Genomic DNA, 13,334 nt, shown 5'->3' with positions numbered 1-13,334 from the left:
TGGTGATTCACCTGCCTCAGCCTCCCAAAGTGCTGGGATTGCAGGTGTGGGCCACCGTACCTGGCCTAGTTGTCCCCATATCCTGGCTATTGTGAATAAGGTTGCAATGAACATAGGAGTGCAGATATCTCTTTGAGATAATGATTTCCATTTCCTTTGGATATATTCCCAGAAATGGAATTGCTGGATCACTTGGCAGTTCTATTTTCAATTTCTAGGGGAACCACCATATTGTTTTCTATAATGGCTGGGTTGATTTACATTTTCACCAGTAGTGTACAAGGCTTCCCTTTTCTTCACATCATTGCCAATACTTTTTGTCTTTGACTTTTTTATAATAGCGATCCTAACAGGTGTGAGGTGATATCTCATTGTGGTTTTCATTTTTATTTCTCTGATGATTAGTGATGTTCGACATTTTTTCATATACCTGTTAGCCATTTGTATGTTTTCTTTAGGGAAATGCCGATTCATGTCTTTTGCCTATGTCTTAGTCTGTTTGGGCTGCTATAATGAAATAATCTAGACTGGATAATTTAAAAGTAATATAAATTTATTACCCATAGTTATGGAACCTAGGAAGCCCAAGAGCAAGCTACCAGCATATTTAGTGTCTGACAAGGAATCATTCCACGTAGATGATGCTTTCTTTCTTGGTGGAAGGGCAGAAGAGACAAGCAAGCCCCCTTAGACATCTTCTATAAGGGCACTAATCCCATTTATGAGAGTAGAGCCTCCAAAAGGCCTCACAGCCTAACACTACTAGACTGGGGATTAAGTTTCAAAGAAAAAGTTTAAGAAGACACGGACATTCAAAACATAGCAGCCTATTTTTAAAACAGGTTGTTTTATTGCTATGAAATTTTTTGAGTTCTTTATATGTTTTTGAAATTAACCCTTTATTATGTATGGTTTGCAAATAATTCCCTCCATTCTATGGGTTGTCACATTCTATGTGTGCACACACACATATGCACACATTTAAGTCTTTAATCCATTTTAAGTTTATTTTTGTATAAGGTGTGATACAAGGGCCAATTTATTTCTTCCACATTTGGTTATCCAGTTTCCAAATACCATTTATTAAAGAGATTATCCCTTCTCTTTGTGTGTTCTTGGTATATTTGTCAGAGATTATTCTTTCTTTTTTATAGTTTTCATTGTATATCTCTTTTATCGTCTTGATTGAATTGTTTTTCTAGTTTATTTTATTTTTGATGCTATTTTAAATGACATTGTCTTCTTATTCTTTTTTGTATAGTTCATTGTTATCTATAAACATTCAGCTGATTTTGTATCCTGATTTTTTTGTCCTGCAACTTTACTGGATTTGTTTATAAGTTCTAACATTGTTTTGGTGGGGTCTTTAGGATTTTCTGTCTATAAGATAATTTCACTTGTAAGCAAAGAAAATTTTATTTCTTTCTTTCAAGTTTAGATGGCTTATCTTTTTCTAACTTTTTATTACTCTGACTAGGACTTCTAGTACCATATTGAATACAAGTGACAAAAGTGGGCATCCTTGTCTTATTCTTGATTTTAGAAGAAAAGTTTTCATTTTCTCACCACTGAATATGACATTAGCTGTGGGCTTGTTACATATGGCTTTTATTATATTGAGGTACATTTCTTCTATACATATTTGTTAAGAGTTTTAATCATGAATAGATGTTGAATTTTGTCAAATGCTTTTTCTGAATCTGTTGAGATGATTATATTACTTTTATCCTTCATTCTGCTAATGTGGTGAATCTCATTTATTGATTTGTGTATGTTGAAACATCCTTGCATCCTAGTGATAAAACCCACTTGACTATAGGGTATAATCCTTTTAATGTGCTTTTAAATTTTGTTTGCTAGTTTTTGTTGAGTTTTTCATCTATGTTCATCAGAGAAATTGGCTGTAAACTTTTTTTGTAGCGTCCTTGTCTGGCTTTGGTATCAAGGTAATGCTGACATGAACTTGGAAGTGTTCCCTCCTACCCAGTATTTTTTTTTTTTTTTTTTTTTTTTTTTTTTTTTTTGTGGGAGGGCGGGGATGGAAGGAGTTTGAGAAGGATTATTGTTAATTCTTCTTGGAATGTTTGGTAGAATTTACCAGTGAAGCCGTCAGGTCCTGGGACTTTCTTTATTGGGAGGTTTTTGATTACTGATTTGATCCCTTACTCACTATCGATCTGTGCATATGTCCTGCTTTTTATGATTCAGTCTTGGTATGCTGCACATTTCTAGGAATTTATGCATTTCTTTTGTGTTATCCGATTTGTTGGCATATATAATTGTTCATGATTCTTGTGATTCTTTGTATTTCTCTGATATTTATAATATCTCTTCATTTAATTATAATTTTATTTATTTGATTCTTCTCTGTTTCTTGGTCTAGGTAAAGTTTTGTCAATTTTGTATATCTTTTCAAAAAATAAATAACTCAAGTTTCATTGATCTTTTTTATTGTTTTTCTGGTCTCTACCTTTTTTATTTCTATTCTGATCCTTATTATTTCCTTCTGTTAACTTTGGCCATAATTTGTTCTTCTTTTTCTACTTCTTTGAGATATAAAGCTAGGTTATTTGAGATCTTTTTTTCTTCTTTTAAAAATTAATTCATTAATATTATTATTGTTTTTAGAAACAGGAAACAGGCTCTCCCTCTGTCACTCATGCTGGAATGCAGTGGCATGATCATAGCTCACCGCAGTCTTGAACTCCTGGGTTCCAGCTATCCTCCCACCTCAGCCTCCTGAGTAGCTGGGACTACAGGTGCATGCCACCATGCCCGACGAATTTTTACTTTTTATAATCTTTTTTAGAGACAGAATCTCACTATATTACCCAGGCTTGTTTCAAACTCCTAGCCTCAAATGATCCTTCCTTTTCAGCTACCCAAGTAGCTGGGATTACAGGCATGAGCCACCACTTCTGGCTCTTTTTTTTTAATGTGGCATTTATTGCTATACACTTCCCTGTTTGAACTGCTTTTGCCGTATTTCATAAGTTTTGATATGTTGTGTTCCCAGTTTGTTGCACTCAAGATATTTCTGGATTTCCTGTTTGATTTCTTCTTTGCTCAGGAGTGTGTTTTTTATTTTCACATATTTGTAAATTTTTCAATTTTTCTTCTATTATTGATTTCTAGTTTCATACCAGTGTGCTCTAAAGATTTTTCATATGTTTTCAGTTTTTTAAAATTTGTTAGGACTTGTTTTGTGGCCTAACATATGATCTATCCTGAAGATTCTTCCCTGTTCACGTGAGTAGTATGTGTATTCTGCTGCTGTTGGGTGATAAGTTTTGTATATGTCCATTAGGTTCATTCAGTTTCTAGTGTTGTTCAAGTCTGCTGTTTCCTTATTCATTTTCTATCTGAACTATCTATTTACTATTGAAAGGGATATATTGAAGTTCTCTGCTGTTAACGTGTTGCTGTTTGTTTATCCCTCAGTTCTATTAACATTGGCTTTATATATTTAGGTGCTCTGATTTGAGGTACATATATATTTACCATTGTTATATCTTCTTGATGAATTGACTTTATCATTATTTAACGACCTTCATTGCCTCTTGTGACAATTTTTAACAAGCACCCTATTATGTTTGATGTGAATATAGCCAGCCCTGATCCCTTTTGGTTACCATTTGCATGGGATATATTTTTCTATCCTTTCACTTTCAGCCTATGTGTCCACTTATAGCTAATGTGATACTTTTGTAGACAGCATATAGTTAGTTCTTTTTTTTTTAAATTCATTTAGCCACTCTGACTTTTGATTGGAGAATTTGATCCATTTATATTTAATGTAATTATTGATAGATAAGGACTTACTACTGCCATTTTACTAACTGTTTTATGACTATTTTTCTTTTCTTCCTTTCTTGGTCTCTTCCTTTGTGATTTGATGATGTTTGTGTAGTTGTATGTTTTGATTACTTTTTCTTCATCTTTTGCATATCTACTTACAGAATTTTTCTTTGTGGTTACCATAGCACTTACATAAAATAACTTATAACAAACTATTTTAAGCTGATAACAACTTAACTTCAATGGCTTCAATACTTGGTGCCTCGAGTGTAATGGAGGGCCTGTTGCTAGGGTCCAAAGTGAAGCTGAAGTTGAGTGCTCACTTCACTCTCCTTCAACCATGTGGAGAACTTCTTTCTCCAAGTTGTGCTGCATGGGTTTGAGGGAGAGTTGACATATATAATGTGAAACCGTCTTTTCTACCTTATTCATTGAGTCTTTTCTTATTTCTATGCTCTACTCAGGTGCTGTAATCACTTACTTGGATTCCTTAGTTGTTGTGAAGGTATTTTTGTGCATGGATGGTTATTCAAGTTCATGTTTCTGTGAGGGGACAAATGCTGGAAACTCCTATTTCACCATCTTGGTGACTCCTGAAAATTCCAGGACTCTTAATTTCGAATAGGCCTGGGAGAAAAGATTCTGAATAGGGAAAAAAGTTTTTTTTTTTTTTTCTTTACGTGCGTTGCAGGAGAAATATTTTTTTTCAGAAATGAGTATGAGATGTGAAAAGCCTGCTTGGAGGATCTTTCTTCCCTGTGCATAGGAGGACTCTGTGGTCTGTGGGCCCCAGTGAATATGAGGTGGGGAAGAAAAGATTCAAGGGGAGTGGAATGCCATGGCAGGTGTCCCTATAACATGAATTCTAAACACCAAGAAAACTATTCCCAAATAAGCGCTTTTATCTTATGTAATAGATAGTGACATGGCAAGTACTATGTTAGAGCCATACCGGAAAGAATAATATGATAAAATATTTGCTTAAAAATATTTTCTAAGATACAAAGTGGGCTTTGTATTATTTCATGCACACATGTATACATGAACACAAACATTTTTGACCATTACATGTAGTATTTTTCAGAGTAAAGCTATAAAACTAATGTGATATGATTATTAATAATTTCAAGAAAAATTGATTTGGGGCTAAATGCTGCTAGACAAGTCATAGGATTGATTCAGGTCAATGATAAATCTATCCTGAAGGGTTTTCTACACAAGTGCTTCATTAGCATGGGGAAAAGAGAAGATTTCAGAAAGTATCAGGACCGTGGAAGCCAATGGAGTGTCTCTCCAACTCCAGCACTTACCTATCTTTCAATGAAATATTTCTCTTTTATAAAGTAGATAAAAAATTTAATAGAAATCTAGAAAAACCAATGGAGCCTTTACCTAAAATCCTACTTGATAATAAATTTACTGGTCAGACGCATTAGTTCTAATGGACTATAACTCGATATGCTTTGAAATATAAAATATAAGGATGAAGCATGCATTATAGACTTTTTCTTCTGAATTAGTATAAAATATTTCTTCAGAGAGTAAGAAAATAATGATCTCTAATGAAATAAGTCAGTTAGAAGTGTTTATTCCCTCTGTAAAAACAGAAAAATAGGATTCAAATTCATATATGCTGTGTGTGTTTATAGGGAAAGAGAGAGAAAATGAATGAGAACCTAAATTATATATATATTTTCTTATTAAATAATATAAAATTTTTCACAAAATAGTTTAGAATTGTTCTGATCATTTTCCTCACACAATAACTGCATAGTCTGAAGCAGTATTTTTTGAAATCTGGATATCTTACTCTGTCAATATAATATTTAAAAATAAGAGTTCTATATTTCAACCCCTAAGAGTGTTGAATTTTAATGACCTGAATATGGATTATCAATGGCAGATTTTAATTGTAAGCCTGTTTCTCCTCTTCAGTATTCTTATGGCTTCTTTTCCCTTAAAGTCAATAGGATAGGCTATGTGGTATAAACTGATTTTAATATTAAATTAAGAGAAAAATGAGCTTTACAATTTTGGATCTTAGTATATGGGGTTTTCTCAAGGCTAGGCTTCTGTAGCCTGGCTAAGCAAAGTTGACTCCATCACCACTAAGAGAACTAGCACCCATTTGCACTCAATTATACATTTGTTGCACATTTCCCCTCATTTTTACTAATTTAAAATACATCAGTGTTTGTAAGGGCTATAGATGCACCTAAGAAATCATCTGTGGCATTTATGTCTTATTTGCAACTCATTTATTCCTATTGCTTATCTTATATTTCATGTAAAATGTTAGTGCTATGGTGGAAAACTGAAGCCCGGCATCAGACTTCTTAGTAGCACTGTCTGAGTCACTGTCAGCTTTTATTTAAAGATATTCAACTATCTATCAGTTTCACATAAGGAATTATTTGCTTTGATGAGAGAACTTGGTTTTAGAAAATTAATATTTATAAAATTACTGTAATGGTAGTATGGATTTCTAACTTGATTCTAGATTATGGTTCTGAAAACAAAGCTCTATATAGGCCACAGAAAAGGCTTGCTCTGACAGTCAGTGTGAGCTATTATGGACATACATTATAAAAAATTGACATAAAATGAATGAAATAGGTGGCCTAAATGCATTTCCAGATGTGTCATTTTCTGTGGAAGGGATGATTCACTGCAGTAAATATATACATAAGTTCTGTTTGAATTTATTTTTTATTCTCACTTAAAATATTTTGAAAAGCAACAATGAAGAAATGTTCATTGTGCAAAATCCAGAGTTTATTGCTCCTACTTGGGGCTAAATTACAAAAAAGAGTATTTAAAATTGGATACAAATTTGATTGTGCTAGCAGTAAGTTTAAAAACAATGTTGGCAATGTTTAATAATAAGGAAAATTCACTAGGACATCTGTACACTGTGATTATTTTACCTAAAAGAAATGCAAAATATAAACAGATGCCCATCGAGATGTGGTTGATTTTTGTCTCCACATGGCATTATTGGCTTTTATTAAAAGACATCTAATCAAGTTTGATAGATATTTCTTGAAATGATGCATGGTATGCAATGCATGCTTTCATTGTGCTTCCTGCCATTATGGAATAACGTGTCTTATTTGGAAATACAATGATCATTTCTGTTAAATCATGCTCAGTGAGCTTATATAATAACACCTGTATTTTGTGAATCATTTCAGATTTCAGAGAGCTATGCCTTCCTACCAAGAGAAGCGGTGACACGATTTCTAATGAGCTGCTCAGAGTGCCAGAAAAGAATGCATTTAAACCCAGATGGAACAGATCATAAAGGTAGCTGCAGTGTCAAATAGTGAGATTTAAAGTAATTTTATTCATAATGGCCATTTGTATCTCACATTTTTATAAAAACGTGGTAGACTGAAACAGTTCAACAAGTCAGATCATCTCATTTATTCAAGTAGGAGGCAGTGAATTTTGAATATCCACTTACAAAGTAATTCAGTGCCCATTCTTAGAAGAAAGACAGTTTCAGCTGTGGCAAATAACATTTTTCCCTGTAATCATGTTTTAATTTTCATTTATTATATGTATTTCATGCTATTTTAGATATATTCAGCAAGGAAATTGGTTTCTATCAATGTCTTTTTAAATCTACCAATTCCTTATTTCTAAAAATTATGAATAATGTGGAGTTTCTTTACTAAAAAATTTTACATTAAAATTATGATTTGGATTTAGCTCTCATTAAAATTATTGAAAATTATTTAGCTAAATATGACTTCCTCTCAGAGATTATATCAGTCTCAGAGATACATTTTTTGCTGGCTCATTCCTGTGTCTCGAAGGTTAAATCGAATGGCCAAAAGCAAAAAATTGAGCAGATTTCCTTCGGCATTCAAAAAATACATATAGAAAGTAAAGCAAAGAAGAAAAATACAAATAATTGTGTTAGTAACCACATTAGGTTTATTTATTGTTATTCAGGATGTTTAAAAGTTCCCCTGCATTTATAAATAATTTATTAGTACTGTTAAACAGTGTCAATACACCTTTGTAGAACCTTACTAGTTGTTTTTTCTACCGTCCAACTATAATGCTACCATGCTTTAAGACACTTGATATCTAAAATCCTGTTTCAATTTGGAGAAATAGATCATTTTAAAATTACAGGTAGAATGCAGTATTACTTTCATTACCCATTAAAAATGTTTTATTACAGATAATGGAAAACCTCCCACTTTGGTGACCAGCATGATTGACTACAACATGCCAATTACCATGGCCTACATGAAACACATGAAGCTGCAGCTGCTAAACTCACAGCAAGATGAGGTAAAATAAAAACATCTACATTTGTATTACTTACAAATTGGAACGAAGCTTGATAACCATGACTATCATATTAAGCATGATGGCATTTTGAAGACAGTAATTTATTTTTTAATGAATGAATCTCACCACAGTTGCACAGATGGGAAAAGTGAGCAGAAACTCCTAGTCCACAATACAGAGCCCCTGCTTAACACCTCTGTCTTAGTGTTATGTGGGAATTTGTTTGTTCCCAAGAAAGCTACATTTTCCTTAGTAGACCATCACTGAGCTGGCCTTGGTAAAGTGCTACAAAGTTCAGAGGGGGTAAGTTCACAGTAAAGTATCCGAAATAATTGAGATTCTAAGGAAATTTAAGTACTAAGGCTATTTTGCATGGCAATCAGAAAAGTAGAGTTAATGGGTATTTCAAGTATTATCATTTCTCCATCATTCAAACCTTATGTAAATTTTAAAGTTATTTTTTAATTAACTGCTATTCTATATATTATTTATTTACTTCTGTGCATTTCCTAGAGACAATCTGTGGTCATTCTTAATTAGAAGTGTTTTGATGTTTTAAGTTATCCTATTTAATTTGTATAGTGAAAATTTAGCAACATGCTGCATGTATAGACACTAAAAACATATTTCTTAAATACTCTGTAGGATTCTAGTTAGCTAGCCATTTTGGTTGAAGCTATGTCAAAGCAGGGACTAAGTTATATATGTATGGTTTATATTCTCCAAAATAAATAACAATAGCAGATATACAATAGGTGCTTAGTACATCCTTGTTGACTAGTTAATACTCAATAGATGCATTCAGGTTATTTATATTAGAAACAGGTTCAGGTCCTCAGGCTAATAAATTATCTTCTTGAAATTTCTCTAAAACAGGAAATGAGGTTAAATGTTTGTTTTTCAAATACAGAATTATTTGCTAAGCTATGATTGCATTCTTTTAAAATTACTTTGTTGAACTTACTTTATTCATAAAACTCAAATCAAGTTTTTAGTTTTCCTCTGTATTTAAGCAGTTTTAACCTCCAAGCTATATTTATAAAATTGTTTGATCTCAATAGATGTTATTCAGGGTATACTCCATACAAAAATTCATATTAGTGCAGTGGCAATATTGGATTTTATATTGCCATATGGCTACATATAAATAATTGAATAAATAGTAATAAAATCATTGGGTTAAAGATATCAATGACAATTAAGAAAATACTAATGTCCTTCCATCCCTGAGAATGATAAAAAAAAACTATCTTCATGATTCATTATATAGTTGAAAAAAATTTTTAAATGTCTCATTAACTAGTTAGAGCTGTCAGATTATTTGTAGGAAGCTCATTTAGATGTTGATATGTTTATTACTAGGCCAAAATGTAAGAAGATCCACTTTGTGCCAACAATGCGCCCACATATGCTGATCCCTTCTGGCTTCTAAAAAATCATAAGTATTTTACACAAAAGAAATAGATCCTTTAAAATTTATAACTAGATTAGAAAAATAACTCTTATCCTTACATTTTGAAAATACTAAATTGGATGTCACGCTTCCTTAAAATATTTAGATAAATGACTAGTTAGATTATTTGCAAAATTTTTAGAAAATTGTGTTTATTGAAAGATGAAAAAGAGGTTAAGTAAAGGAAGTCACATTAAAATGGAATGTAAGTGAAATATTCCTGTCTAACAAATTATATTTAAATTTGAATAAGCATTAATCCAATAAGTTCAACCAATATTTATTCAGTACTTACATGTATCTGGTCCTCCTGAAGAAAAACAGTGAATAAATTGAGAAAAATCTTTGTCTTTTGTGGGGGTAAACATATAATAAAGAAAATAATGGCCATAGGTATATAAGAATATGCTAAAGGCTATTAAGAGAAATAAAGAAGGCCAGACATGGGACTCCCTTTAGAACTAGGGAATCACAAGTTTAAAAGGCTTTATTAAAATGTATCATTTGAATAGAAGTGAAGGAAATGTGTGCATGTAGCAGAGGGATATAGTGAAAACTTCCTGAGGCAGGTATATATCTAGTAGCTGCAGGAACAGCAAGACAGTCAACATGGTTGGAACAGAATGTTCAAGGAAGAGGAAAATAGGAGAGGAGTTTAAGGAGATAGTGGAAAGCCAAGTTATATAGAGTCTTACATTTTAAGAACTTTTAAATTTTACTCTGAGTAATATGGGGAGCCATTAGAAGGTTTTGAGCAGAGAAGTCATGTGATCTGATTTATATTTTAACATAATGATGGGGGCTGAGAATAGATTGAAGAGGAAAAAAAAACTGGATGCAGGGACACCAGTAGAAGGTTATTACAGAAATCAGTGTGGGTAAGGAGTTAACAAAGCTCTATTCCTTCCTGCATGAGAAATTGGCCTTTGAATAACTTTTGGAGTTTGCGCTCCACAAAACTGCTAACATTGAAATGATAACTCTGTTACTAGGCAATGTTCCTATGGCAAAAATGATTCCAATTGATAAACTGTATCAGAAGACTAGAAATATCTGGTTAGAATCTTCAGATTTCCTTGAGTTGGATGATTTTTGCAATTGGCATGTCCTTTGTGAGGACCTTAAGTTATTAACTGTGGTGTGATAAGAGATTTTTGTCTCTTTTGGGGCATGGGGCTTCTCTGCTAAGTTTCCAACCTACCCAGTATGATTACTGCTTTCTTGTACCTGAGCTATATCACAGGAAGAGCTAAAGAAAATATGTCTAATTAACTATGTGAATTTCTACATGGCCCCTGCAAGGGCTTCCATGGAAGAGAAACACCTGATGCTGCCCTACTGGCAAGAGTTTCCTTTGCTACATGTTTCTAGAAGAAGCTAATGCCAAGGGTTTTCAATGGTCCTCTTATGAGTATACATTTTAGTTGGATTTAACAAAAGCTTCTGATGGATGTTTCAGGAAAGAAGATAATAGTGGCTTGGATCAAAGACAGTGGTTTAGGTAGTGAAAAGAGGTGAAATTATGAATAGATTTTAAGTTTTGCTGACAGATTCGATGTGAAGCATGAAAGTCAAGAGGTAGTAATGGCTCCAAGGTCTTTAATCTGAACAAGTAGGGTAGAATTGGTATTAACTAGTGTAAGAAAAACTGTGGGTAGAAAACATTTGAGGAATGATACTAGAAGTTCATGTGAGCTCTTCATTAGAAATTCAAGTATATTTAAGAGGTTTATTAGAGATTCAAGTAGATTTGTCAATTAGACAGTTGGCATGTGTAATTAAGAGCAAAGAACTAAGCTAGACATAAGGCCAAGCATCATCGGCAGATAGTGTGTGAAGCCATGAGACTGAAGATACTACCAAGGTAGTGAGTGTAGACTGAACAAACAAAGCCCAATAACTTTGATTTGGGAAATTCCAATGTTATAACATCTGGCAGATAGGGAGGAACCAACAGAGGATACTGAGAAAGAGCACCCAGGGTATTAGGAGAGGCAGGAGAGTTTGTGAACTAGAATAAAACTGGAAAAAGGTTTTTCAATATGTCTACAGTAATGTATTATGTCAAATCAAGTGATAAGTCAATTATACTGAAGTCTGAAAATTAAATTTGTGTTTAGCCTGGTGGAAGTCAATGGTGTTCTTTACAAGAGCAGTTTTTATGGGGTGCTCAGGATGACAGCAGCAAGGCCATTGAAGAGTTTGCTATGAAGGGGAGCAGGGGAAAGAGGTAGGAGATGGAGGGAGCATGGGAACAGGAGTTTTTTATTATATATTTTTTTCTAAAATCAGAGAAATTATAGCATATTTACATGTTGATGAGATTCATGTAGCAGAGGAAAATAATGATTTAGAAAAGAGGAAGGAGAATTGATGAAGCAATATCCTTGGCATTAATAGGTAGGATTTCTTGTACAAAATTGGAAAAGTTGGCCTTAGAATGGAGCACAGACAGGAGGGATCAGATAGAGGTAGGCGAATGGAAATAGTGGTGGAGATTATGGAATTGTTCTGCTGTTTGCTCCTAATTCATCAGTTAAAAAAAAAAAAAAAGCAAGACTAAGGATGTTTGAGAAGGTGGTGAAAGTTTGAGAAGAGGAGAGGATGTGAGAAGTAGAAATCTAGACAGTGAGGAGTGAATTGACCAGGAAAATGGACCTCTTTTGAGTTTCAAGTAAAGTCATTTAAATAATTGCTCATCTCTATGTCCAGCTATATAGGGGCATGGGTAGAAGACAGTAAGGGAAAAAGAGAATTACTCACATTTTGGGTCTTGTCAAAAGAATAGAAGTGTTATATAAGGGTATGATTAAAATGACAAGCCATGGAATTCTAGCCACATAAGAATATAAGTGAGATCATGAGAGAGGTGGGGCGAGAGCAGGGGAGGTCAATGCAAAAGGGTTAGAGGGTTAGAATCAAGGGGTGATAAATATCAGTGGGATAGAAATTTCATCGGAATACTAGAATACATGCAATACTAGAGCAAGTGAGCTGGGAAATTTGAGCTGTTGTGTAGAGAGTGAGATGCTTAAAATCAAGGTTTTGGAGGATGTGCAGTTGCTGGTAATGAAATGCATAGAACATGATTATGAGAGCAAAATGGTTGAAGAAAGGCAGAAGACCAGATCATTAGGGAAGAGTTCATGAAAGTGACAGGTCAGGATGTTTCCAGAGACACTGAAGTAATCAGGGACCGAAGCATGCGTAGTTGTCTTTTTTTTTTTTTTTGAGACAAAGTCTCACTCTGTTGCCTAGGCTGGAGTGCAGTGGCGCGATCTCGGCTCACTGCAACCTCCGCCTCAAGGGTTCAAGCAATTCTCCTGCCTCAGCCTCCCGAGTAGCTAGGATTACAGGTGCCCGCCACTATGCCAGGCTAATTTTTGTATTTTTAGTAGAGATGGGGTTTCACCGTGTTGGCCAGGCTGGTCTCAAACTCCTGACCTCAGGTGATCCACCTGCCTCAGCCTCCCAAAGTGCTGGGATTACAGGTGTGAGGGTGCCTGGCCTGAAATAATATTTTTAAACAGTTTGCTAAGACTGTCTTGTGAAAAATGTCAAAACATGTTCAAATATCAAAATTCTATTAAATTACTCTTTTTATGTACACATCAAAGAAAGAATTGATGTGGAGAGAAAAAACACACAGGAAAATTTAGGAAACTGGCCGTAAATAATTTACTACTTAGAACCACTGACATGCTGCTCTACCTCCATTTTGCAGATGGGGCACCAAGGTTTTTAGCTGATAAAACTTGCCCTAATGATTAAACTG

At 33.9% G+C, this 13,334-nt stretch overlaps 1 protein-coding gene across 31 annotated transcripts in view; it reads left to right on the top strand.

Moving 5' to 3' along the window:
• The window catches only part of NOL4 (nucleolar protein 4), a 373,814-nt gene that overhangs the window by 112,761 nt on the left and 247,719 nt on the right, over positions 1-13,334 (top strand). For 28 of the 31 annotated variants that reach the window (XR_935261.4, XM_047437902.1, XM_047437901.1 and 25 more), the window contains 2 exons: positions 6,993-7,104; positions 7,994-8,106. Coding sequence is in view for 27 of the 31 variants with exons in the window: in XM_047437902.1 (XP_047293858.1) it covers positions 6,993-7,104; positions 7,994-8,106 (225 nt within the window). In the remaining 4 variants the exon portion in view is untranslated. Of the gene's footprint in view, positions 1-4,000; positions 4,304-6,992; positions 7,105-7,993; positions 8,107-13,334 lie in introns of those variants that run through there. The other 3 variants (NM_001384471.1, XM_017026053.2, XM_017026052.2) reach the window with 2 other exon arrangements.

Source organism: Homo sapiens, chromosome 18 (assembly GCF_000001405.40).
Source record: "Homo sapiens chromosome 18, GRCh38.p14 Primary Assembly".
Classification (NCBI taxonomy): Eukaryota; Metazoa; Chordata; class Mammalia; order Primates; family Hominidae; genus Homo; species Homo sapiens.
The sequence above is the reverse complement of the archived record's forward strand: the minus strand, read 5'-3'. Positions and strand labels throughout refer to the sequence as shown.